The 26,614-nt window shown below is 49.0% G+C and overlaps 2 protein-coding genes and 1 pseudogene across 3 annotated transcripts, besides 6 other annotated features; 2 read left to right on the top strand and 1 right to left on the bottom strand.

Moving 5' to 3' along the window:
• Positions 1 to 756: 756 nt before the first annotated feature.
• SMTNL1 (smoothelin like 1) lies at positions 757 to 13,434 on the bottom strand. The gene is made up of 8 exons (NM_001105565.3): positions 13,387 to 13,434; positions 7,655 to 8,388; positions 7,273 to 7,405; positions 7,109 to 7,160; positions 4,993 to 5,148; positions 4,682 to 4,796; positions 4,377 to 4,528; positions 757 to 1,061 (listed from the first exon to the last, which is right to left on the bottom strand). Exons 2-8 carry the CDS (start codon positions 8,384 to 8,386, stop codon positions 917 to 919), a joined length of 1,485 nt encoding a protein of 494 aa, NP_001099035.2. The 5' UTR covers positions 8,387 to 8,388; positions 13,387 to 13,434; the 3' UTR covers positions 757 to 916.
• Positions 3,030 to 3,089: an enhancer, noted in NCBI's record as "active region_4723". NCBI's record gives its function as "activates an Ori minimal core promoter by ATAC-STARR-seq in GM12878 lymphoblastoid cells {active_cell/tissue: GM12878}" and the evidence as "EXISTENCE:reporter gene assay evidence [ECO:0000049][PMID:35858748]".
• Positions 3,100 to 3,169: an enhancer, noted in NCBI's record as "active region_4722". NCBI's record gives its function as "activates an Ori minimal core promoter by ATAC-STARR-seq in GM12878 lymphoblastoid cells {active_cell/tissue: GM12878}" and the evidence as "EXISTENCE:reporter gene assay evidence [ECO:0000049][PMID:35858748]".
• Positions 3,796 to 3,865: an enhancer, noted in NCBI's record as "active region_4721". NCBI's record gives its function as "activates an Ori minimal core promoter by ATAC-STARR-seq in GM12878 lymphoblastoid cells {active_cell/tissue: GM12878}" and the evidence as "EXISTENCE:reporter gene assay evidence [ECO:0000049][PMID:35858748]".
• Positions 6,736 to 7,626: an enhancer, noted in NCBI's record as "H3K27ac-H3K4me1 hESC enhancer chr11:57310876-57311766 (GRCh37/hg19 assembly coordinates)". NCBI's record gives its function as "activates a minimal SCP1, AML or CMV promoter by ChIP-STARR-seq in primed H9 embryonic stem cells {active_cell/tissue: H9 hESC(primed)}" and the evidence as "EXISTENCE:reporter gene assay evidence [ECO:0000049][PMID:30033119]".
• Positions 20,096 to 20,275: an enhancer, noted in NCBI's record as "active region_4720". NCBI's record gives its function as "activates an Ori minimal core promoter by ATAC-STARR-seq in GM12878 lymphoblastoid cells {active_cell/tissue: GM12878}" and the evidence as "EXISTENCE:reporter gene assay evidence [ECO:0000049][PMID:35858748]".
• On the top strand, positions 20,275 to 22,565 carry TIMM10 (translocase of inner mitochondrial membrane 10). Of its 2 annotated transcripts, none has more exons than NM_012456.3 (3): positions 20,275 to 20,371; positions 20,795 to 20,910; positions 22,111 to 22,565. In NM_012456.3, the coding sequence occupies exons 2-3, from the start codon at positions 20,840 to 20,842 to the stop codon at positions 22,310 to 22,312; spliced, it is 273 nt and encodes a 90-aa protein (NP_036588.1). In that variant the 5' UTR covers positions 20,275 to 20,371; positions 20,795 to 20,839; the 3' UTR covers positions 22,313 to 22,565. The 2 variants fall into 2 exon arrangements, with proteins under 2 accessions (NP_036588.1, XP_024304204.1); XM_024448436.2 differs by having other exon boundaries at positions 20,736 to 20,910.
• Positions 22,664 to 22,944, top strand: RN7SL605P (RNA, 7SL, cytoplasmic 605, pseudogene; annotated as a pseudogene).
• Positions 24,730 to 25,327: an enhancer, noted in NCBI's record as "H3K27ac hESC enhancer chr11:57293175-57293772 (GRCh37/hg19 assembly coordinates)". NCBI's record gives its function as "activates a minimal SCP1, AML or CMV promoter by ChIP-STARR-seq in primed H9 embryonic stem cells {active_cell/tissue: H9 hESC(primed)}" and the evidence as "EXISTENCE:reporter gene assay evidence [ECO:0000049][PMID:30033119]".

Genomic DNA, 26,614 nt, shown 5'->3' with positions numbered 1-26,614 from the left:
TGGGGTGTGTTTTGTTTTCTGTATTTTTCATGAGCTGCTTTCATCAGCACACATGCCCCAAATGGCTGATAAAGCCAGACTGGATAGTTAGCAGGAAATTGTAATCAGCTCAGGGGTTTGTATCTCATGAGCAATGGAAAAACAAAAACAAGCCAAAACTTCAGCCAGGGATTAACTTCAGTTAAGGGATTAACTTAACCCAGAAGAAGAACTTTCTGGTTGCAATTGTTGTAAGCTCCTGGAATACTGCTGGCTTTTCAGAGATAGAATATGGGGTGATTTGAGTCAAGGAAGTCACCCAGATCCCACTAGTTTCTAGAGAATCTTCTCCAGCTCCTGCCCTGGAGTCCCCTAACCTGAGAAGAAGTGTGAAAAGAGGGGAAGATAACCAGAAGAAGTGCCACCAGAGTCAAAATGTAAGTTTTTTATTTTTGGCGACCACTTACTGAACACTTGAGTGGCAGGACTGGGCAAAGCTTTTTGCCCATTTCATTATCTCGTTTAACTCTTGCAACACCTTCATAAGGTTGGAACTCTCATTATCCCCTTTCAGACTGTAAACTGGGGCCCAGAGAGGTTAACTGTATGTGTCACACAGCTGGTTAGTGGTGGGAACCAGGCCATTGTCCTTTCCCAAACACCTTGCGCAGTTATTGAGACCTCAGCAGGTGAGGAATCCCCTATGGCCAGAGTTTATTATCCCAGAGTGCAGAGGTTCCTGGGCCAAGTATGGAGAGAGCACTGAGGGGCCAGACAGGATTTTACAAAAGTACTTTTAATGCAGTTAAAACCAACGCCACACACCCTTGCCTAAGCCCCTGGCTCTGGTGCCTCCATGGAGCAGAAGGGAACCCCCGGGCCGTGGCTGCTGAGCTGGGCACCCTGCCCATCTCTGCCCACAGAGCCAGTCACCTCCTCACTTCTTCTTGGTCTTCACCAGTCCTTTCTGCACAAGGCTGCGGTACAGTTCCTGGATGTATGTGTAGACGCACTTGGAGTCGGGCACAGCCAACCGCACCATGTCATCCACGTCCAGCAGCTGAGCACAGTCAGCCAGTTTCCTAAGGAATGGGGTGGAATGAGGAGCAGAAGGTCAAAGGTGAAGGATATGGGAGCCAAGGGGATGGGTGCAGGCAGCCCAGCAATGACGAAGCCCATAGGATGGGCTGGGATGTTGGGGCTGGGAGATCATCTAAGCCAATCATCCCATTATATATCTAGATGAGATAACTGAGACCCCAACAGAGTTAAGACAAACCCAGGCCAGGTGCTGTGGCTTCCTTTAGGTAGGTCACAGGATGTAGACAGGTAACCCCAAAGCCAACACCAGTGAATAATTCAATAATGAGTTTTAGGCCAGGCACAGTGGCTCACACCTATAATCCCAGCACTTTGGGAGGCCAAGGCGGGAGGATCCCTTGAGCTCAGTAGTTCGAGACCAGCCTGGACAACCTAGTGAGACCTTTTCAGAGAATGGGAGCTTCTCCAAAAAATAAAAACAAAAATTAAAATAAAAAAAGACTCAAACCCAGCTGGGTCTGATTCCAAGCCCACATTTTCATTGCACTTATTGTCCTCACATGGGCGCAGGACCCTCTGGTCTCTAGTTCTACATTAACCCACCACTTCCACATGCGTATGTATCTGTCCTCTGGAACCGGGGAGCTTCTGTTAGACCAGGCCCCTCAGGAAGAATTTAAAGGGGCCAGGTGTGGTGGCTCATGCCTGTAGTCCCAGCACTTTGGGAGGCTGAAGCAGCTGGATCACCTGAGGTCAGGAGTTTGAGACCAGCCTGGCCAACATGGTGAAATTCCATCTCTACTAAAAATACAAAAATTAGCTGGGCATAGTGGCAGGCACCTGTATTCCCAGTTACTCGGGAGGCTGAGGCATGAGAATCACTCGAACCCAGGAGGTGGAGGTTGCAGTGAGCTGAGATCATACCACTGCACTCCTGCCTGGGCAACAGAGTGATACTCTGTCTCAAAAAAAAAAAAAAGAAAAAAAAAAGATAAAGGACAGAAACCAAATCCTAGCCAGAGTCCTGGCTTGCAGCTGCAGCATCTCCAGGAGCATCACTCATTCAGTCTCTATGTACTTATCAGGAGCCTATTATGTGCCAGGCCCTCTTCCAGGCTCTGAGAATTCATCAGTGAATAAAACCAAAACTTCTGCACTCTCATGGCATAGAAATTCTTGTGGCAGGAGACAGTAAGCAACACACAAAGTAGATGGTACATCAGATGGTGAGAGGTGCTAAGGAGGAAAATAAGGCAGGAAGGGAGACAGGGTATGTTCTTATGTTGGAGGAGATCTGGTATTTTTTATATATTTTTAATGTATTTATTTATTTATTTTTGAGATGGAGTCTTGCTCTGTTGCCCAGGCTGGAATGCAGTGGCGTGATTTTGGCTCACTGCAACCTCTGCTTCCCGGATTCAAGTGATTCTCCTGCCTCAGCCTTCCAAGTAGCTGGGATTACAGGTGTGTGCCACCACGCCCAGCTAATTTTTGTATTTTTAGTAGAGACAAGGTTTCACCATGTTGGCCAGGCTGATCTTGAACTCCTGACCTCAAGTGATCCCCACGCCTCGGTCTCCTAAAGTGCTAGGATTACAGGTGTGAGCCACTGCACCCAGCTGTGGTATTTTTTAATAGGGTGCTCAGGGTAGGCCTCTTAGAGTAAGTCATGTGCACATCTGGGGAAAGGAGTCCAGGCAGAGGAAACAGCAGGTGCAAGGGCCCCGAGGCAGGAATGCTTGGTGTGTTTCAGGAGCTGCTGGCACTTAGCAACAAGTCCTCTTTTTCTAACTTCGCAGCTGCCCTTTGGGGCTCTGTGACACCACTGGCTTTGCTGAGGCCGACAATCTGAGCTAATCAGTGTTGGGACCTCCTGCCCACCTCATGCTTTATCAGGTGCTTCCCCTTGGACGTTCTCATAGACTCCTCCCCTCCATCCTCAGCCAGCAGAAGAGGAAGCGGAGACTCAGAGTGTTTTGGTGGTTTGCCCAAGGCCAAAGTGAGCAACACAACCCCGGGGGCCTGTCTGACACCTCTGGCACCCTTTCTCTGAAGCTGGGTCTCAGCAGTCCCTGCCTACCAAAGCCAGCCATAGGTGCTGGCATAGGAGAAACCAGGGCCCCAGAGGAAATCCTCCCTTGGGGCTGAGACTGCAGGGCCAAAATCCACGCCAGACTGGGAGCTGTGGGAAGGACACACACTGGAGGATTTTGGAGAATGGGACAAGCTCCCTGCAACCAATGCAGTGCCCCATGGTTTTGGGTTAGGGTGCTGTCCCTCTACGTGGGAGAGGCAAAACCTTCATTCCCATTGAGCCTGGGGCGTGGGTGGGGAAGGGCTTCGCCACTGGGGGCTTCGGCATTGGCCACTCCCTCCCCTCATCCCCGGACTCCATGGGAATCGGAGGAGAGTTCTGGAATGGGCAGTGGGGTGTGATGACTGTGGCAGACACTCTTTCCTCTTCACACTTAATCTTCACAACAAGCCCTGTGATGTGGGGCCTCTAGAGAGGTTAAGCCAGCTGGCGAGGGTCACAGAGCTAGGGAGAAGCAGGGAGGATTCAAACCCAGGCACCTCAGCTTCTATTCTCCTCTCTCCTTCTCCACACATCCCCACGACCTCCTGGGCTTTCAGCTGCCTGATGCCTCCTGTCGGCCTGTCTTTGTCATCTGATGACTCCTCCCACCTTCCAGTGGCTCTGCCTGACTCAGAACCAGAGTCCAGGCAGCTGCAGGAGCAGGACAGTTGGTTCACAGCCTGCAGGTCAGGAGCACTTGGTGAGAGCAGAGCTGCTTGCCCTTCTGATATTCACTTAGAGCTGTAAGTCCAGACTGCAAGTTTCCCTTTCATTTTTTAAAATTGTAATTTTTTTTTAAAGACAAAGTTTTGCTCTGTCACCCAAGCTGGAGTGCAGTGACTCAATCATGGCTCACTGCAGCCTTGACTTCCTGAGCCCAAGTGATCCTCCCATCTCAGCCTCCCGAATAGCTGGGACCACAGGTATCCACCACCATACCCAGCTAATTTTTTGATTTTTTGTAGAGATGGGGGTCTCACTATGTTGCCCAGGCTGGTCTTAAACTCCTGGCCTCAAGCGATTCTCCTGCCTCGGCCTCCCAGAGTGCTGGGATTATACAAGTGAGCCACTGCGCTTGACTCAAGCAGAGATTTTTGTCTTTTTCACCCACTGCTGTATCCCCAGGGCCTGAAACAGTGCCTGGCCCTCAAAAAATGTCTGTTGGATACATGAATGTGTGGCACCAGCATCGGTGTAACTGCCTCACTACTCAACCCCTGTGAATCCAGTCCTCGCCTAGGCTCCCATCCAGCTCTGCCAGCCCATGGCTGTGGCTTACTCTGCTGTGGAGAAGGCCAGGGTGAAGTTGTGCCGGCGCTTTGCGGGATCCAGCTCTGCGTAGTCAAAGGCGTCAGGGAAGAACTTGTGGATGAGGGCACAGAAGGCCATACCACTGCTCCAGCTGGAGGAGAAGTTCTGGATGTCCACATGCTATGGCAGGCAGGGCACAGAGGAGGCCTCAGTGAGGCTCAGCCAGATGGCCTGGACTTGGCCCCCTTCCCACCCTCCCACCCTTTGGGGTTTGCACCACTTGGACCCTCCCTGGACCCCTGCCCCACCCACGCAGCTCTGCCCCATGCCCACCTCGTATTTTTTTGTCATGGCTCGGCACCACTCCAAGAGCATGTTCTTGACACCACCAATGGCTGCCCCGGCTGCCTTAGTGTTGCGGAACAAGGCCGTGGGGCCGGAAGCTGCCCTGTGAGGGGAGAGGGGTGCAAGGCCAAGCCAGAGAGGCAGGAGGCCATGAAGGGCCCCACTGGGAGGATCCCCAGCCCCCAGGTGTCAGTCCTCCTGCCTTGGCCTGGGCTGTTCCCACTGCCCCTGAGGCCACCCTCCCACCAACCCAGGGTTCCTATGGGAAAGCCCAGCCCAGCCCCTGGCCTGTGTCCTACCCGCCAAACTTGTCCACGATGGCTTTGCGGTTCTGTGCCCGGGGCCCCCGGGGCCGAGCAGGGGCTGATACCCTGCGCTCTGGTGCCTTCTCCTTCTTCTCCCCTGAGGAAGGGGACTCAGGGGGACTCTGGGGCACGTCGCTGGGTGAAGACTCACTATATGGAGAAGTCCAAAGACGTGTGAGAGAGGCTGGGACCAGCACTGCAGGACACAGGGAGGGGGCTGTGGGGCTGGAGGGTGGGTGGCACTGCAGTCTAAGGGGGTGTGTGCAGCTGTGCCCAGCACTGGGAGGACATTGAGAAGGAATCGTGAGTCTCAGTCTAACTTGGGGGAGAATGTGGTCTGGTGAGGACATGTGGGTAGAGCTAGGACACCTCTGAGGTCTGACCTGAGTTTGGAACCTGGCTTTGCTTCTCTTTTTTTTTTTTTTGAGACAGAGCTTTGCTCTTGTTGCCCAGGCTGGAGTGCAGTGGTGTGATCTTGGCTCATTGCAACCTCCACCTCCCGGGTTCAAGCGATTCTCCTGCCTCAGCCTCCTGAGTAGCTGGGATTACAGGTGCCCGCCACCACACCCAGCTAATTTTTGTATTATTAGTAGAGATGGGATTGCACCATGTTGGCCAGGCTGGTCTCAAACACCTGACCTCAAGTGATCTACCCGCCTCAGCCTCCCAAAGTGCTGGGATTATAGGTGTGAGCCACTGCGCTTGGCATGGCTTTGCCTCTTATTTGCTGTGTGATCTTGGGACTGTCACATTGTTTGAGCCTTAGCTTCCTCATCTGTAAAATGAGGACAAGAATACCTACCTGCCCTATGTAAGAAGGTGAATGTAAAGCATCCAGCTGTGCCTGCTGGGTGACTATTCACTGGTTATCTTTCCCTAAGAAAGGGACAAGGAGGCCGGGCACAGTGGCTCATGCCTGTAATCCCAGCACTTTGGGAGGCCAAGGTGGGTGGATCACCTGAGGTCAGGAGTTCAAAACCAGCCTGGCCAACATGGTGAAACCCTGCCTCTAGTAAAAATACAAAAATTAGCCAGGCGTGGTGGCGCGCACATATAATCCCAGCTACTTGGAAGGCTGAGGCAGGAGAATCGCTTGAACCCGGGAGGCAGAGGTTGCAGTGACCTGAGATCGCACTATTGCACTCCAGCCTGGGCGACAGATCAAGACTCCATCTCAAAAAAAAAAAAAAAATGGGGGGAGGACAAGGAGGCAGATTTCAGCTCCAGATAATCCTTCTAATGACTGAAGTTGTGCAATGGCAAGCATAAGCCTCTTATTTTATCCAGCACCTGCCAGGGACCAGGCACTGGGCTAAAGTGCTTTGCACTTGTTACTCATTGAAGCCTGAGAATAATCCTACGAGGTAGATACAATTGCTATGCCCACTTCACAGATGAGAAGAGGTTCAGTGACATGGCCAAGGTCACACAGCTGGTACATGGCAGAACCATTGTCCCAACTCGGGCTTTCTGATCATGCTTTTTGGATGACTGGCACCATGGAAACATGTTCAGCTGAAAGATAAGGAGCTCCTGTGAAGTGTCAGGGATGCCACAGGGCAGACTTCAGCCATGGCATGGGAAGTGGACCAGGTATCCTTCGTGCTCCTTTCTGCCTCTGGTTTTTTGTTGTTGCTGTTGTTGTTGTTTTGAGAGGGAGTCTTGCTCTGTCGCCCAGGCTGCAGTGCAATGGCGCAATCTCGGCTCACTGCAACCTCCACCTCCTGGGTTCAAGTAATTATCCTGCCTCAGCCTCCCGAGTAGATGGGATTACAGGTGCCCACCACCACGCTCAGCTAATTTTTGTATTTTTGGTAGAGACAGGGTTTCACCATGTTGGCCAGGCTGGTCTCGAACTCATGACCTCAGGTAATCCACCCACCTCAGCCTCCAAGAGTGCCGGGATTACAGGCGTGAGCCACTGCAGCCGACCATGCCTCTGGCTTCTTTTGTTTCCTGGGCTCTGCCCTGGGATAGGAAGCTGAATGCCAGGAATCCTCGAATATCTTGAAATCAGGTGCTGGGGGAACCCAGACTGAGTTGATGGTGGACGCTGAGGGAAGCAGGAGGTAGGGGGAATTGGAGCTGGAGCCCCAGAGTTTGACATTACCTGGCTGAAGGACTGGTCTGTCCGGAAGCTACACAGTCTGGACCCAGCCCATCTGGAGGAAAGTGAAAGGAGGGAGGGAAGCTGGGGCTATCCATGGCATGCTTCTTGCGCCCCTCCCCCAGGTGGCCTCTGCAGCATCCCATGGGCTCTGGGCTCTCACTCACCTGTGCTGAGGTTGTGCCCCTCCCCAGTGGGGCTCTCAGGCCACTCCTCTGGGGAGCTGGGAATCACCCCTGCCCCTCCCTCTGGCTCTTTTTCCACGTCCTGCTCCTGCTCTTCGCTGGGACTGCCTGGCTCCTGGAATGAGCATGATCTGCGTGAGCTCATGGTCACACAGCACCTGCCCTGGCTTCATGAGGACTTCAGAAAGTTCTGAAAGGCAGCCTGGGACTACGGTGCTGCACTCCTTGTCCCCCCTCCCCCACCCTGGGCTCTGGAAATCATCAGGAGGAAAACTGGACTTTCCCAACTGACTGAAGCAGAGGGGGCTTGCTTCCAGAAGCAGGAGACGACAGAGCCTCCTTGCTCCTTTCCTGCCTCACTCACTGCCTCCTCTGCATCCTCCGCCTCCTCTTTTGCATCAGCCTCCTCTTTTGCACCATGTTTGGCCTCCTCTTTCCCATCGGGCTCCTTGGGTTCAGCCTTAGCCTCATCCTCCACAACAGCCTTCTGCGATTCAGCCTTGGCCTCTTCATCAGTAGCCTTCTCCTTGGGTTCAGTGCTGCACTCTTTCCTCTGGCCTGTCTCCTCCTGAGAGGCTGTCTTGGCGTCCTCCTCCTCAACTGTTGCCTTAGGTTCAGGCTTGTCTCTGTCATTGGCATCGGCTTTCTGCCCAGATTCAGGTTTGGCCTCTTTCTCCTCAGCCTTCTGCTTCTCAGAGGCCAGCGTGCTCTCCTTTTCCTCAGCCTCTTTGGGTTCAGATTTGGTCTCTTCTTTCCTGCCAGTCATCTCCTGAGAACCCACAGTGGTCTCTTCCTTCTCACCATCCTCCTTTTTAAGTTCAGCCTCAGCATCCTCTTTCCCACCAGCCTCCCTCTGAGATTCCACTTTGACCTCATCTAATCCATTTGCTTCCCCCTGGAGTTCTGCTGACATGCCGTCCTCGGCTGGTGCCTTTTCCTGCTTTCCTGACTCAGTGGGAGGCCCCTCATTGATGGCCTTTCCAGCTGTGCCTTTGGTCTCCTCTGCAGGGGCTCCACCTCCTGACATCTCAGGGTTGTCCGCAGCTGGGGAGACGGTGGTCCCATCCTCAGAGAGCTTCCCTTCCTTCTGCTCCATCTCTGGAAAGAGAAGACAAGCAGACCTGGTCATGCCCCAGCCCAGCATGAGGTGAAGACCCCACCCTCAGAGAGCTCTGGCCTGGGAGTCAGGAAGTCCGTGGTTCAGTCTTGGCTCCTACTTGGACATGGGGCCCAATCACGAAGGAGAGAGAAGTGCTTCCCCAAAGCTGGGATGGTTGGGCTACATTGACATGACGTTGGATGGTGTTCACCTGATGCCCCTCGGTAGGTTCTGGCTTTGGCTTTAAAGAACATTGAATCACATAATGCCTTTTCAGTCATGTTGCCTCTTTTTGATTAAGCCACTGAGGTGGTCACAATTTTATTGTATTATTTATTTTTTGAGACAAGGTCTCGCTCTGTCATCCAGGCTGGAGTGCAGGAGCACAATCTCAGGTCACTGCAACCTCTGCCTCCTGGGGTCAGGTGATCCTCCAACCTCAGCCTCCTGAGTAGCTGGGACTACAGGTGCTTACCACCACACCTGGCTAATTTTTGTGTGTGTGTGTGTGTGTGTGTGTGTGTGTTTTTTTTTTGTAGAGATGGGGTTTTGCCATGTTGCCCAGGCTGGTCTCAAACTCCTGAGCTCAAGCAATCCACCTGCCTCGGCCTCCCAAGGTTCTGGGATTGCAGGCATGAGCAGTGCCTGGTCACAGTTTTATACTGGCATCCTAGAACACCTATGGAACAATTGCTACTCTCCCCTGAGAGCCTAGGCAAGCAGAAGTATCTAGATAGAATTGAATAACACCATTTTGTTTCCATTGTATTTATTTTTACAGTTACTTTCTATCTCTGGTAAGTGATACTGAGTTTCCATTTCCAACAGTGATACAGTGTCTTTTAAAAATACATTTACTGAACTTAAAAATAAGTTGATTCAAAGGAAGTAATTCAGGAAACTGGAATATAGGCAGTGCAGATGTAGCAAAATTATAGAGGTGGTGTATAAAAATGGCTGAAATTTGGGAACCCCAGGGCCAACTGGTCTCTGGAGCTTTGCCAGCTCTACCAGCCTGTGGTTTTTGGAAAAGGTGGGCCTGGGCAAGGAAGCGTTTCCTTGAGTGAAGAATGGAGCCGTACTCTCCCTGGCCTCTGCTGAGCAATCTGACTCTCCAACTGCCCCCGGGAGCATGGGGGTAGATTATGACATCTTAACTCGGAGTTTCCTATTTAAGTACTGTATATACTGGAGGATCTACAAAAACAGGTGTGTGGGGGCCCCGGGTTAGCTCCTTCATGCTCCTGCCCTTTTTGGGGGGTGTAGTTACAAAGAAAACAATCCCCAAATAGGGCTCAGGGCATGACTCAGGCAGTAAGAAAAGTGGACACTCCTGTCACACACTAAAAATACCCCCTGCCCTTGGCAGTACCATCTTTCTCAGTGATAGTACCGAGGGCACCTGGGTAATTGGGCAGAGGACAGGAGGCAAGAAGACAGGGATAGGGCTTTTTTCCCACCACCCACTGGGGTCTTACCCAGAGTCCTGGGGTTCCTGAATTCGATGCCCTCACTATTTCCTAAAAGTAGGCTGGGATTTGTAAAGATGCTCACACTGTCCTCTGATTCCTGCTAGAGCCCCTTCCTGGTTCAGCGGCTCCAGCAATGTCTTAAAGTAAGAGGGAAGATGACGCCGGGCATGGTGGATCACACCTGTAATCCCAGCACTTTGGGAGCCCGTAGCGGGCAGATCACAAGGTCAGGAGTTCAAGACCAGCCTGGCCAATATGGTGAAACCCCATCTCTACTACAAATACAAAAATTAGCTGGGTGTGGTGGCAGACGCCTGTAATCCCAGCTACTTGGGAGGCTGAGGCAGGAGAATTGCTTGAACCCGGGAGGTGGAGGTTGCAGTGAGCCGAGATCGCGTCACTGCACTCCAGCCTGGGCAACAAAGCGAGACTCCGTCTCAAAAAAAAAAAAAGAGGGAAGATGAGCCAGGGGGATGGACGCACATCAGCAGAGATGCCGGGAGGTGTGAAGTTGTGGAGCTGGCTGTGACCTGCATCTTCCAGTCCCCACTGAGACCTGAGCAAGTAGTTTTCCCTCTCTGGGCCTCAGTTTCAACTGACAATGATGGGGTTCATCTGGATCAGGTTCTCCACATTGTGTTCTGTGGAAAACTAGGGTCTCCCGTGACATGGATAGGGTTTTCTGTGGGGTTGGGAGAAAGGATATTCTCTGGCTAAGGTTGCTCCACAAAAAAGCCTACTCTTTACCCTCTTAGAGATATACAGTTTCAGCCAGGCGCAGTGGCTCATGCCTATAATCTTAGCATTTTGGGAAGCCTAGGTGGGAGGATTACTTCGGCCCAAGAGTTCAAGACCAGCCTAGGCAACATATTAAATTCTGTCTCTATAGTAAGGAAAATAAAATTAAACAAAACAAAACAAAACAAAAACAGATATATAACTTCATTAGCATTTAAATAGATTTTAGAAACCAGATAGTCAAGAAACCTAAACCTTGCTTAAACTTCATTTAACTCACTTTTTTCCAAACCTATTTGACCATGACTTTTTTTTTTCCTCCCTTTGTTTTCTTTTCTTTTTGCTTTGATTTTCCCTGAGGAGCATCTACCACTCTCTCTAGCAGCAGAAGAAAGCATGGCAAATGCTGGTCTAACACAATCCCTTCCCCTCTTTCTCTCTGCTCTTGTTTGGAAGGTGACATGGACTAGCAGTGAAAATCATTGATTCTGGTGTCTTCCTGTGATGGGATCTCAGCTCCCATGGGTTACTAATTGTGTTAACCTTGAGCAAGCTATCCATCCTCTCTGTGTTTTGATTTCTGCAGACAACAATAGGTCCCATCCCATAGGGATGGTGGAGGATTAAGAAAGCCCATGCTTAGAAAATATCTGGAGCCAGACGTGGCGGCACATGCCTGTGGTCCCAGCCACTCAAGAGGCTGAGGCAGGAGGATCACCTGAGGCCAGGAGGTCAAGCAGTGCACTATAATGATGCCTATGAATAGCCACTACACTCCAGCCTGGGCAACAAAGTGAGACCTCAGCTCTTAAAAAAACAAAACAAAACAGGATTCAGAGGCATGCTTGGCATGAATGAGTACTCAGCACCCATCAGCTCGTATGATGTGGGTTGGCTGTGCCCAGCCCTGTGCCAGGGCAAGGTCCTGACCCAGCCTTGAGGGCATTTATCAGTGAGTCAAGGCAGAGAGAACTGAATGCCAGTAGGATGATAACAAGCCCTTTTTATACCTCAAAGTATGACACTATTTGGCTAAGACATAGCTGAGTGCTCCAGTCATCTTTTATTTTTAAGAGACAGGGTCTTACTCTGTTGCCCAGGCTGGAGTGCAGTGGCTCAATCATAGCTCACTGTGACCTCTACCTCCTGGACTCAACGGATCTTCCCACCTCAGCCTCCTGAGGAGCTGTGACCACAGATGTGCACCATCACACCTGGCTAATTTTTTGTTTTTTATTTTTTTTATAGAGATGGGGTCTCGCTATGTTTCCCAGGCTGGTCTCAAACTCTTGGCCTCAAGTGAACCTCCTGCCTCGGCCTCCTAAAGTGCTGAGTTTATAGGTATGAGCCACTGAGACTGGCCGCTCTAACCATCTTTCCTTCTGCCTACACGCTGCATACTTAGGGTGGTGGAGGGGAAGGGTAGGTGCACGCACACGGACACACACCTCGGCTATCCTGCGTGTTTATCACCTCAGCTTTCCACCCTCCAGGCTTGTCACAAATAGAAAAGGAGTGAAGATGCTCAGAATGCTGAGAAACCAGGACGCCACCACCCACCCCCAGCATTCACAGCCCTACAGCAGTTTACAGCTTATGCTGCGGAGGCCCTGCTTTCTCTTGGTCATTTCTTGCTCCGACCCTTCAGAATAGGTTATTGGCCCCATTAGGGAGCCAATGGGGATTTCAGGCTCAGGGAGTTGAAGTCCCTTGACTAAAGTTATAGGACAAGTGGCCTGGCTCTCTATCTAGAATCCAAGTATCCCAACTTCCACTCCAGAGCTCACATCAAATATATGCTCCCACTAGCTCCGCAGCCCAGTGTCCCTACAAAGGCCCTGGCCCAGAGTGGGGGCACCCCACCAGTTGGGAAGGGCAGTCAGATTCAGCCGAGGAGTTCCTCCCTCTTTCTTCTAGGTGCACAGTAGGCCCTTCATGAAAGTTTCTCTGCCCCCACCTTCCTTTCTTATTCTCTCCTTTCCTTCCTCCTTCCTTCCCCAGGAAGTCTCCAAACCATCCCTGTTTTGTGTCCAAAGCAGCACTGCAGATATCTCCCCTCCCTCTCTCTTCCTGTTTCTTCTGGCAGACCAGGAGGAAAGGGACCCAGGAGCCCAAGATCCAAACTCCCAGTAGTATAAACACTGGATGTTCTGTGGTGCGTCTGCCACCCACTGCAGCCTCATCTGTCATCTGGTTGTCCTAAGGCTTCCACCTTCCCCACTCAGCCAGGGGCCCTCCCTTGGAGAGGCCGACCTCAATTGCTTAGACTAGGGGTATCCAATCTTTTGGCTTCCTTGAGCCACACTGGTAGAAGTAGAAGTGTCTTGGGCCACATGTAAAATACGTTAACACTAACGATAGTGGATGAGCTAAAACAAAAATTGCAAAAAAAAAAAAAATCTCATAATGTTTTAAGAAAGTTTATGAATTCATGTTGGGCTACATTCAAAGCCATCCTGGGCCACAGGTAGCCTGTGGGCTGGACAGGCTTGGCTTAGACAGTCTACCCCCCAACCCAGTTTGACTCTTGAGACTCCCAAGGTCCCCTCCCCTGCTCTGTGGCCTCCTCGTGGATGGCCACTTGCAGTCTGCTCTGTAGGTGCTCTGGTGCAGGGCTGAGACCCCAGGCATCTAAAGAGAGTAGACATTGTGGTGGAGAGAATTAGAAAGGAGCCTGGATTTCTCCAAATGGGGGGCCCTCCTGGGAGGCTCTGGCCCTTGGACAGTGGGAGTGAGAATTGGCAGATGGGGAGGGACCCTTAGAAAGGGTGCCAGGGCTTCTCCTACCTGTGGGGCTTCTGCCTGTGGCTTGGGAGCTGTCTCTTTGCTCCAGCTGAGTGGCCTCACTCCCAGGCTGCCTTTAAGCCCCAGTGGCCTCTAGCCCCCAGCTCTTTGGTCCCGCCTCCCCCCTTCCTCTCCCTCTTCCACCCCACCCCCACTTCAAGAGTCTTGGGCTGCCTGAAGAGCATTGTTTACTGGCCTGTTGGTACAACACTTTACCCTAGACTGGGAGGCTCGGATTTCCCGTGGAAGATCTGACAGGTGGCACCTTTCAATCACGGCACGTCCCTTCCGCCCTGAGCCTGGCAGCATCCGTCCTGTGGTCATCTTTCTCCCCAGTGGACTCTCCTAACCCTAGGGACCTTGACAACCATCTTCAGGACTCATTTAGAGCATGGCCCTGGCCTCCACTGCTCATCCAGAGCCCAGGCGAGGCCTCTTGTGCTCCCTTCACACCCACCCCGCCACGTTCCTTACATAGCCCCTTTCCCTCGTCCTCAGACAAAAGCAGCTGCTTAAGGCTGGGCTAAGGAGGGGGCGAGTAGGGCAGCTGCCAACACAGGGGATGTGTCTTGGGGCTCACAGTTGACTGAGAGATTTGGAGGGGGAGGGGCAGAGAGGGCAAAAGTGATGGGACAAGCTGACGGATCACTGGACGGAGCCTGGAAAATACAAAACTCCTGAGTTCTATTTTGAGCTGAAGTGACAGGTACACAGTAGGCTCTGAACACATTTTTATACTGAACTGACATTTTGCTAAGAAAAAAACAAAACAAGCCTGGGCATGGTGGCTCATGCCTGTAATCCCAGCACTTTGGGCAGCCGAGGCGGGTGGATTGCTTGAAGCCAGGAGTTCAAGAACAGCATGGTCAACAGGGTGAAACCCTGTCTCTACTACAAATACAAAAATTGGCCGGGCTTGGTGGCGCATGCCTGTAATCTCAGCTACTTGGGAGGCTGAGGCACGAGAACTGCTTGAACCTGGGAGGCAGAGGTTGCAGCAAGTCACTGCACTCCAGCTTGGGTGACAGAGACTCCATCTCAAAAAAAAGTCTTCACTTTCTCTGTGTGTTTTACAATCTAAGAAAGGCACTACTTTTGGAGAATGGGTGCAGAGGACACTCCCACGAAGCTTGGGATCCCCCCCAGTCCTCCTACCCCAAGCCCCACCACTGGGCCACACTGGCCTCCTTCCTATTCCTTAAATAAATCCATCCCTTTTCAGACTCAGGACTGGTTTTTCCTTCTACTCTTTGTAAGACTGCCTCCCTCTCATTCTTCTGGACTTAGCTGAAATTTCATTCCCTCAGAGAGGTTTTCCATGACCTTCAATTCCTCTCCCTCATTTCAGCAGTTTTTATTGTCCTCATAATACTAAATCTAAAATTACCTTATTCATTTCCTTATTATCTGACTCTCTCACTAGGCTTTAAGCTCCATGAGGGCAGGGATTTTATCTACCATACTCATGGCTGTATGCCTAGATCCCAGCAGAATTGCCTGGCTCATATTAGGTACTTGATAAATACATACTGAATGAAATAACTAATTAATTAACAGAAATATGACAGGAACTTGGAGGTCTTGCCCGGGATGATCTGAAAGAGAGATCTTTCTGTGCATCTAGGTTTGGGTACTAGTCATGAAATAGTCCAATATTAATGGTTGCCAGCCGGCTCTAGTAATACTTGAAACCCGGCTGGGATTATAGGCATGAGCCACCATGCCCAGAGTATTTTGCTCTTTTCAATATCTAATGACAGTAGGATAAGAGAAATGAATTTAAACAAAAAACCAGCAAGCCAGAGAGAGATGTGGAAAAACTCGCCAATCTTGGGCAGATATACTCTGGATGGATGCTGTTTTGAGAATAAAGTGAAGAAGCATGGATAGAAGTGGGGAGAGCAGTCAGGAGACAAACTCAGTGACCCTGGTGCAGGATGGTGGTGGCTTGGACCACAGTATCAGCCATGGAGGTAAGAAGAAGTGATGGGAAACAGTAATAGTGCAGACAGTGATTAAGCCAGGGCCAGCTTTTTCTTCAAGTGAATAGAATGACGTAAGCCATTTCATCACAAGGGAGGTTACAGGAAACCTCTGTTTTTGTATTCTCTGCACCTCTCATGAGTGGTCAGGGCCCACTTGAAGTGATTCTAGATGAAAACTCTGCATCTCTTCTTCTGGGGCTGGGGTCCCACCCAAGAGGACAATACTGACCCACGATGAATGACAAATATACAACTCACCTTTGCAAGGTTGGGAAGGGGTAGAATGCAGGGTAGAATGAGGAGCCAGAGTTTCAGCATGGTGTTGACAGAGATCAGTAGCTTTGGATGACATATCTGGAGTCTAAGGATATCTTCAAAGTCTGAGGCTATCTAAACTGTCTTCTACAAGAAGCAATTCAACTGGGACCATTGGAGATTCCTACCTGTAGGTCTCCACATAGAGGAAAGACACAGTCTCATAGTAAATAATCATAATAACAATAGCATCATCATCAATAAGAGCAATGGTTTTCCAGAGGCTGAGCAGCTGGGGAGATGGAGAGTTGCTGTTCAATGGGTATACAATTTCAGTTATGCAAGATGAATAAGTTCTAGAAATCTGTGTACAATATGGTACATATAGTTAACAATACTATTTTGTGCACTTAAAAATTTGTTGGCCGGGCGCGGTGTATAAAGCACTTTGGGAGGCCAAGGCAGGTGGATCATGAGGTCAGGAGACTGAGACCATCCTGGCCAACATGGTGAAACCCCATCTCTACTAAAAACACAAAAATTAGCTGGGTGTGGTGGCATGCGCCTGTAGTCCCAGCTACTTGGGAGGCTGAGTCAGGAGAATCCCTTGAACCTGGGAGGCAGAGGCTGTAGTGAGCGGAGATCGTGCCACTATCCTCCAGTCTGGTGACAGAGCGAGACTCCGTTTAAAAAAATTTTTTTTGTTAAGCAGGGCCCAGTGCAGTGACTCATGCCTGTAATGCCAGTGCTTTGGGAGGCTGAGGCAGGAGGATCGCTTGAGGCCAGGAGTTTGAAACCAGCCTGGACAACATAGCAAGACCCTATCTCTACAAAAAATTTTAAAAACCACTCAGGCATGGTGGCTTGCGCCTGTAGTCCTAGCTATTCAGGAGGCTGAGATGGGAGGATTGCTTGAGCCCAGGAGTTTAAGCTAACAGTGAGCTATGATTGGGTCTCTGCACTCCAGGCTGAGCGACAGAGACCCTGTCTCAAGGAAAAAATAAATAAATAAAAGGGCTTTATCTGTTAGAGATAAAAATAGATGAAGAAAATATGGACAAATGTTAACAATTCCTAAGTCCTGGTGATGAATATATGGAAGCTCAATGTCCTGTTCTCTCTGCTTTTCTGTATGTTTTAAATATTCCATCTGGGCATGGGGTGGCTCATGCCTGTAATCCCAGCACTTTGAGAGGCCAAGACAGGAGGATTGTTTGAGCCCAGGAGTTTGAAACCAGCCTGGGAAACATGATGAGACCCTATCTCTTAAAAAAAAAAATTAGCCAGGCATGGTGGCTCATGCCTCTAGTTCCAGCTACTTAGGAGGCTGAGGTAAGAGGATTGCTTAAGCCAAGGAGTTCACGATTGCAGTGAGCACTGATCATACCATTGCACTCAAGCCTGGGTGACAAGGCAAGATCCTGCCTCAAAAATCCTAAGTAAAAATAAAAATAAATTTGCCCCAGTGAAAGTTTAAAAATGAAAAAGAATGAAAACAATGATTTATTTTTATTGAGCATCTACCATGGACTAGGTACTTTACTTACACAATCTTTTATATAAATATTTTTCTTTCTTTCTTTATGGCCAGCTCTTACTCATACTTGTATAATCTTATTTGTTTTCTTTTTTGTAGAGATTTTTAAAACTTTTTATTTAGAAATAATTATAGTTTCACAGGAAGTTGCATTAATAGTACAGAGAGGTCCTGTACGCCCTTTACCAACTTCCACTAAAGGTTAAATCTAACATAACTATATTCAATATCAAAGCCAGATAATTTATATTGGTACAATGTGTGTGTGTAGTAGTTCTATGACTTTTTTTTTCTTTCTTTTTTTTTTTTAGACCGAGTCTTGCTCTGTCGCCCAAGCTGGAGTGCAGTGGCACAATCTCGGCTCACTGCAACTTCTGCCTCCCGCCTCCCGGGTTCAAGCGATTCTCCTGTCTCGCCCTCCTGAGTAGCTGGGACTATAGGCGCATGCCACCACACCCGGCTGATTTTTTTTATTTTAGTAGAGACGGGGTTTCACCATGTTAACCAGGATGGTCTCGATCTCCTGACCTCGTGATCCACCCGCCTCGGCCTCCCAAAGTGTTGGGATTACAGGTGTGAGCCACCGCGCCTGGCTTTTTTTTTTTTTTTGAGACGGAGTCTCACTCTGTCGCCTGGGCTGGAGTGCAGTGGCACGATCTCGGCTCACTGCAACCTCCACCTCCCGGGTTCAAACGATTCTCCTGCCTCAGGCTCCTGAGTAGCTGGGGTTACAGGTGCCCGCCACTACCCCCAGCTAATTTTTTGTATTTTTAGTAGAGACGGAGTTTCACCAACAAGGCTGGTCTCGAACTCCTACCTTGTGATTCGCTCGCCTGGGCCTCCCACAGTGCTGGGATTACAGGCGTGAGCCACCGCACCCTGCCAGTTCTATGACATCTTATCACCTGTGTAGATTCTTGTAACCACCACCACAATCAGGATACAGAATTATCCATCAACACAAAGATCTCTCTTGTGCTACCCTTTACAGGTACACTTCTATCTCCCCATCAACCCTAACACTAGACAATCAGAAATCTCTTCTCCATCTCTATAATTTTGTGATTTTGAGAATGTTACTTAAATGAAATCATACAGTATGCAACCTTTCATAAGGCCCAGTAGATATTGCAAGATTCCTCTTGTAAGAAACCATCTCCTTTTCCCACGCAGTTTCTTAACTTTCCATAATGTTTCTTTTTTGCGGGGAGTGGGGGGTCGGAGTTTCACTCTTGTTGCCCAGGCTGGAGTGCAATGGTGCGATCTTGGCTCACTGCAACCTCTGCCTCCCGGGTTCAAGTGTTTCTCCTGCCTTAGCCTCCTGCTTAGCCTCTTGAGTAGCTGGGATTACAAGCACCCGTCACCACACCGGGCTACTTTTTTGTATTTTTAGTAGAGATGGGGTTTCACCAAGTTGGCCAGGCTGGTCTCGAACTCCTGACCTCAGGTGATCCACCCACCTCAGCCTCCCAAAGTGCTGGGATTACAGGCGTGAGCCACTGCACCCGGCCAATGTTGACTATATTTTCAAAGGCAAAAACCAAGGCAAGATATGTCCATCTGTACAAGAGTATCATAGCAGCATTATTGCATAATAGGCAAAAACTGGAAACAATCCAAACATCCACCAACGGGAGAATGGATAGATGAATTGTGGCATACTCATACAATCAAACACTAGACAGCAATAAAACAGAAGGAATAACAGATGCACACAACAATATGGAGGAAATCTTACAGGTACATTGAGCTAAAGAAGTCAGGCACAAAATAGAAAATAATGTATAATTCCATTTACACGAAGTTCAAGAACAAGGAAAACTAATTGATGGTGATAGAGGTCAGAATAGTGGTTAACTTCGAGAGGGGGTATTGATGGGGAAGGAACACAAGATAACTTTTTGGGGTGCAGGAAGTATTTTATATCTTGATCTGGATGGCGGTTATACAAATGTACATATATAGATACATATATATTTAATTAAGCTTAACATTCGTGTATTTTATGCACTTTATGAATGTTATACCCCAATCTTTAAAAATCAGGGCACAAGTTTGGCAAAGATGAGTCTTCAAAGCAGTAGAAAGGTCAATTGTTTAAAATTAGGATGGTCTTGGACAATTAGGGAAGCTTATGATGACCACACAGAAAATGTCTAGCCCACCTTTTCCAATGGGCAATGTGCCCTTGCGTCATTAATTTACATCTTGTAAATTTATTTTACCAGGAAATTGTGTGACAAATCAAGGGACTGAGTATTGTTTCCTTGTTTCCTTCTTTTTAGTGGGGAATGAGTGAATGGTGCAGTTTGAAGAACACATTAAGTCTTGAAAGTTGGAAAGTTCACCAGTACCCTTCTTTCCCTCACCCAAGATTAGCCCTGGTGGCAGCCGAAATTGCTTTTATTATCTCTTTGTGGCTGAGGACCTCTAACTGTTGAAGAAAACATATTTTACACGTCTTGTCTTTCTGCGAACAGGAAGCCTATCTCGCTTATCTTTGCAACCCCAGACGGGGCTTAGTGTGACCTACACACAGCAGTAATCGCACAACGTCCCGTGGAGCACTGCTTCTCAAATTTGGCTGTACATACGAATCACCTGGGGAATTTTAAATTGTATTGCTGCCTGAGGAATTTTAAACTGTACTCCCAGAGATTCTGATTTAATTGAAATGAGGTGAGTCCTGGGCACTGGGATGTTTAAAAACGTTCCAGGTGATTTTAACGCGAAACAAAAACAGAACCGCTGTTTGGGGGCGTTCTTCCTTCTCCACGCCTGATTTGCGCACAGGAGTCGGCTGTCTGGAACGGGGGTGAGGTTCACAGGTGTCTGTCGCCACGCCTCTTCCTACAGAACCAATAAACTGAAGCCGCTCGGTGACATCCCAAAGGACTTGAATTCTGATCGGGCTGCAGACGCTCTGCACCCCGCCCAAGCTTCTATGGTACTTTGGTGTCCTCTCTAGCACTGGCAAGTCGCCTTCCTCTTCGCCCGGCGCCAGCCGCTCCCTCTCTATGATCGCCGAGTTCCCGGCGCCGTCTCGTTGGTATTTAATTCCGGAAGCGAGTTTGAATCAAAGAAGAGGCGGGACTTTCCTCCCGGAAGTAACCCACGTGCTTCCGCTGGAGCCTCTCGGGAGGCGGGTAACGTTATAGTATTTGTCAGAAGTTGGGGTCTCCGTGGGCATTGTGATCCGTCCCAGGCAGTGGTAAGTGACACATGACCTCTGAATTCAATGTGGCCCTGATGATGGCGTCGCCATTTCAGAGGTGTAGCCTTTGGGCTGGGTCCCGGTCGCCTCTGTTCAGCGTATGATCCCATTCCCAGGGCCCTGGAGGTTCAGGTTCGTGGGTTAGAGAGTTCTCCTCCGGTCCTCGATCTCCTGAATAGAGGTGACCTCCAGGAACTGGGGCATCAGAGATCCGGGGCTCGATTTCCAGGCTCGCCATAGACGTCCTGTGCGACCTTGGGCTAGGCCTCAGTTTCCACATCCGTGAAATGGGGTGGTTAAGCTCACTGAGGTTAGTGGCCCGTGGTGGTCTGGCGCCCTGTGAGTCCTCTGTATCCTCTAGCCCCAGGGGTAGGAGAGTGAACGGCGGCGGTGGGTGCTGATGGTGATGTCTGCTCCCAGGATTAGGAGGCCAGAAGGAGATCCCTTCCACGGTGCTAGGCTGAGATGGATCCTCTCAGGGCCCAACAGCTGGCTGCGGAGCTGGAGGTGGAGATGATGGCCGATATGTACAACAGGTAAAGAGAACTATGTGCTACCCTGTCTTGGAAAATAAGTCTTGGTCACCCTTATCGAAGGTGAATGACTTATGACAAATTCCTTCCTGAATGTAGGGGAGCCTGAGGCCCATGCTTACCCTCCCCACACCCACCTTCAAGGTTGATCCTAATGTAGATGCAGTAAAGGGTCACTAGAATGAGTTGGGCATTTAGATGGGGATGGAACTGGCAATGCAGGAGCCAAGCAGGAAGAGAAACTCCAATCCAGGCTCTGGTTAGGTTCCAAGAAAAGCTGAGTATTTGCCTCTTGACAAATAGCACATAGCCAGCCCATTTAGTAGTTAACATTTTAAAACCCTTTATTCTGTGTCAGGCACTTGTTAATCTTCAAAATAATCCAGTGGGTTAATTTTATTAGTCCCGTCTTAAAATGAGGAAATTGATGATTCTAGAGGTTAAGTAACTTCCTTAGGGTCGGCAGCTGGTCAGTAACAATGCCAGAACTAGCACCTCAGTCTGATTCTGCAACTAGTGCTCATAACCATTTGGCAAATTTGGGAACAAATCCTGGCTCCACCAATCACCAGCAGTATAATTGGACATGTTACTTGCACTGTTTGACAATTGGTTTCCTCATTATGAAGAAGACATAATGATACCTACCTCATAGGACATCATAAATATTAAATCTAAAAATATATGAAAGCCCTTAGCCTCAAGCCCAACACTTAGTGAAATGTCTGCTATTTTTATTGGCTTAAGCTCTCTTGATTGGTTGGTTTATCCTGAAGGCTATAAATTAGAAGGATTTTTAAGTGTAGACTGTGAGGTCAGATGACCTGGCTTCATAACCCAGCTCTGTGTGATCCTTAGAAAATTACTGAGCCTCTGTTTGCCTTAATTTCCTCATCTGTAAAATGGGGATACATGTCTCTTAGGGTTATTGTAAGCATTGCATAACAGAATGCAGGTAAAGCACTTAGCAGGATGCCTGGCATGTAGCCAGTCCTCAACAAATGGTTTCTACTTAGTTAGTCATATACATGGACTTAGACAAGTTTCCTACTTGCAAGGACCTTCCAGTGGTTGAGGTGTAAACTGAGGATTTACACTGCTTTCTTGGGGGAGGTGAAATCAATATAGCAGGGCTGGAATGGTCAAGGTTCCTGGGATGTCACAGGATGCTGCTGACATGACCTTGCCCCTCCCTCCCTCCAGAATGACCAGTGCCTGCCACCGGAAGTGTGTGCCTCCTCACTACAAGGAAGCAGAGCTCTCCAAGGGCGAGTCTGTGTGCCTGGACCGATGTGTCTCTAAGTACCTGGACATCCATGAGCGGATGGGCAAAAAGTTGACAGAGTTGTCTATGCAGGATGAAGAGCTGATGAAGAGGGTGCAGCAGAGCTCTGGGCCTGCATGAGGTCCCTGTCAGTATACACCCTGGGGTGTACCCCACCCCTTCCCACTTTAATAAACGTGCTCCCTGTTGGGTGTCATCTGTGAAGACTGCCAGGCCTAGGCTCTCTGTAGAGAGTCTTCAAGATCCCGGAGTGGTAGCGCTGTCTCCTGGTGAAGGAGTATTTGTCACACTGGAATGTGACTGTGTGTGTATGTATGTGTATATATATATATATATATATATATATATATATAAACAAGTTTGTTGACACCTACTATGTGCAAAGCAGTGTGCTTGGCATTTGAGAGTAAAGAAAACAGACACAGCCCCTACCAGCAGAGGGAGATTAATGAGTGTTTAAGAGTAAGACAGGCCGGGCAAGGTGGCTCATGCCTGTAATCTCAGCACTTTGGGAGGCTGAGGTGGGTGGATCACTTGAGGTCAGGAGTTCAAGACCAGCCTGGCCAACATGGCAAAACCCCGTCTCTACTAAAAATACAAAAATTAGCTGGGTGTAGTGGCGGGTGCCTGTAATCCCAGCTACTCAGGAGGCTGAGGCAGGAGAATCGCTTGAACCCAGGAGGCGGAGGTTGCATGAGCTGAGATTGTGCCACTGTCCTCCAGCCTGGGCAACAGAGTGAGACTCCATCTCAAAAAAAAGTAAGACAGCTTAGGTTTGCCTGCTGTCTGCTGCTTTTTGTGTGGCCCTGCACCTGTCACTTTTGTGTGCTTTAGCTTCCGCATCTGTAAAATAGGGTTAGCCCCCTGACTAATCCTGTTTTACAGATGAGCAAGCTGAGGATTTAAGAAGTAAGTTGCTTGCTGGAGCAAGCTTGCTGGAGGTCACACAAGCAGAACAATACCATGGAGGCCAGACCTGACTGCTGCGTTTGCTGTCTCCAGATGGGACTGTGGTTGACACCAGTGCCACTGTGACAGCAGTACCTTCAAAGTGGGCCTTCCTGGTAGAAGTGTCTGGGATGTAACTAGGTCATTGGAGTAAAGGAGACAGAATAGAGGCAGTGAGTTTGGGGCTTGTGAGTGCAGGTTCAAGCCAGACTGCTTAACTTTGAGTTTCTACTGAAATTTTCTAGCAGTGTGATCTTGAGTAAGGCTTTTTAACTGCTCTGTGCCTCAATTACCCCATCATAAAATGGCAGTAAGGTTACCCACCTCATTAGGTAGTTGCAAAAATTAAACGTGTTAATAACCAAAGCACTTAGGAGAGTGCCTAGCATACATTGAGTATCCAATAACATTAGCTTTTTTCATTGCTAAGTTTGGTGGGAGGTGAAGATACCGGATGTACTGGAAAACTTCAAAGCCATTACTAGTCTTTAGGGTAGAAAGAAAGAAAGTTCCTTTCCAGGTACTGAAGTGCAGATTTTGGTCAACAGGTGGCGCCGTCTGCTCATGGTCAGCACTGCTGTGGACAATTCCGCACATTTTATCATTTGCCTATTCTTTGCTGGCCTTGTTCTTGAAAGAGAGGACAGGTGAGGAAAATCGATATTGTGCATACCCTCAGGTTTAGCAAGAAACATCAAGAATTCTCTGTTAGCACATAGCCAGAACATCTAGAAGGGGTGGTAGGAGTGGGGATTAGAGGTTCCAGCTGGAGGCAATGGCACTTGCAAAGGCTTTGTTGAAGTGGCGTAAGTGTGGAGGTGGAGCATTCAGGAAAGGAGAGCTTCAGCTTCAGTGTGGCTGGAGTGCTGGGTGTGAAGAGAGGTGAAGATGAGGCTTGGAGGCTGGGCAGATTTTGCTCCAAAAGAGCTTGGTGAACTGTGATAAGGAGTTTGGATTTTCTCCTACTAAGGACAACAGCAAACTATTGAAGAGTTTAAATCGTTCAGTGACAATGACACGTTTGCGTTTTGGTGGCTCACTCGAGCTGCCAGCCAGGTAGACAGTGGCAGAAGATGGAAGATAAAGCACTAAAGGGTGATGAGGCAGGAAGCCAGTGAGGAGAGAAAGGGGACGATGTGAGTGACAGTAAATCATTTGTTGGGTTGCTATTGTGTGCTAAGCTCTGTGCTAAATTCTTCACGTGTATTATTTCAGCTAATCCATCTAACAACTCTGTAAGGCAGGTACAATCGTTCCCAGCTGAAGAAGCTGAGGCTCTCAAAAGCTAGTAACTTGCCTAAGTTCATGCAGCATGCAAGTTGTCCAGCCAGGATTCTAACTTAGACACCAGAGGCCACTTTTAACCACTGCTCTAGGACTGGGGGAAATGGTCCCTAGTGAGATATGTGTCGAGTTTCATATTTCATTCAACAATATTGTTGGCCTGCTACATGTGAAGAGCTGTGGAAAGCGCCCAAAGTGAGTTAGATCCCTATGAGCAAGTGGGATGGGGGTGGAGTGGACAGTAGGAGGGCTGGAACACACATAAAAGGGTATAAGAAATAACAATTAGGCCGGCCAGGGGTGGTGGCTCACGCTTTTAATCCCAGCACTTTGGGAGGCCGAGGAGGGTGGATCACTTGAGGCCAGGAGTTTGAGACCAGCCCGGCCAACATGGTAAAACCCCATCTCTACTAAAAATGCAAAAATTAGCTGGGCTGGTGGTGCACGCCTGTAATCCCAGCTACTTGGGAGGCTGAGGCACGAGAATCACTTGAACCCAGGAGGCAGAGGTTACAGTGAACTGAGATTGCACCACTCTACTCCAGCCTGGGAGACAGAGTGTGACCCTGTCTCAAAAAAAGAAAACAAAACAAGTAGGTACTTTCTGCCATAGGGAGGATTCATAAACTGCTAGTCCTCAGGTGCATTTTTGCTTATCAGTTTTAAAAATCAGAGAATGTCTCAAAGAATTAGGATGTCAGCTTCTTTTGAAAATTTGGGCCAGAAGCGGTGGCTCACGCCTGTAATCCCAGCACTTTGGGAGGCTGAGGTGGGTAGATCACCCGAGGTCAGGAGTTGGAGACCAGCCTGACCAACATGGCGAAACCCCGTATCTACTAAAAATACAAAAATTAGCTGGGCTGGTGGTGCATGCCTTTAGTTCCAGCTACTCAGGATGCTGAGGCATGAGAATCACTTGAACCCGGGAGGCAGGGGTTACAGTGAAATGAGATTGCACCACTGCACTCTAGCCTGGGAGACAGAGCAAGACCCTGCCTCGAAAAAAAGAAAAAGAAAATTTGGAAGATCTGACAACAGTTGACCTGCATTCCTGCTCGGCAACAGCCTGATGGTGGATGGGCAGAGGCTCAGTTGTCTGCCAAACCTCCCATCACTGATGTCTTCCCTCGCTGTCATCATCTGCTTGACATGTAGGCATTTGGTGTGTGCCTTCTGCTCTGGGTGCCCAGATGAATTGGATGCTATATGAGAAAACATTCTGTAAATGTCTTGTGGTAGGCAACCTCAAAGATCACTGGGGCCTCCAATGATCCCTCCTTCCTGGTATTCATGCCTGTGTATAATCCTCTCCCTTGAGTGTGTACTACACCTGGATACTTGCTTCTAATAAACAGAACACAGCAAGGGTAATGGGATGCTACTTCTAAGGTTAAATTACAAGAGTGTAAAGTCTGTCTTGTTTGTTTCCCTCTCTTGATCTTCCTCTCATTCTCTCTCTCTCCCTCTCTCTCACTTTCTTACTGTCTTGTCCTTCCCTTTGTTTACTCTGATGAAGCAAGCTAGCAAGCATCCATGTTGTGAGCTGACCTATGAAGAGGCCCATGTGGTGGTAAGGAACTGAGGGCAGCCTCTACCCAGCAAGGAACTGAGTCACTCATCATATGGGTGAGCTTGGAGACAAATCCTTCCCCACTTGAGCTTTCAGATGACGGCAGCCCTGGCTGATGCTTTGCAGGCTTGTGAGAGACCCTGAGACAGAACACTCAGCTAAGCTATACCCTATCTCCTGAGATAGAGTATAATACATGTAGTTTTAAGCTACTATGTTTTGGGATAATTTGTTACTCAGCAATAGATAACCAATACATATACCATGTACATAACTGTTTCAGTTGTCTGAGACTATATTTAGTCATTTTACACCTACATCAAGAATGTGTCAGGCACCATTCCAGGTACTTGGAATACATCAATTAACAGAATAGGTAAAGAGGCCAGGCATAGGGCTCACATCTATAATCCCAGCACTTTGGGAGGCCCAGGTGGGAGGACTGCTTGAGCCCAGGAGTTGAGACCAGCCTGGGTAAAATAGTGAGACACTGTCTCAACTAAAAAAAAAAAAAATTAGTTGGGCACAGTGGCACATGCCTGTGGTGCCAGCTGCTCAGGAGGCTGAGGTGGGAAGATCGCTTGAGCCCAGGAGTTTGAAGCTCCAGTGAGCCACGGTCA

This window comes from Homo sapiens, chromosome 11 (assembly GCF_000001405.40).
Source record: "Homo sapiens chromosome 11, GRCh38.p14 Primary Assembly".
NCBI classification, from domain to species: domain Eukaryota; kingdom Metazoa; phylum Chordata; class Mammalia; order Primates; family Hominidae; genus Homo; species Homo sapiens.
The sequence above is the reverse complement of the archived record's forward strand: the minus strand, read 5'-3'. Positions and strand labels throughout refer to the sequence as shown.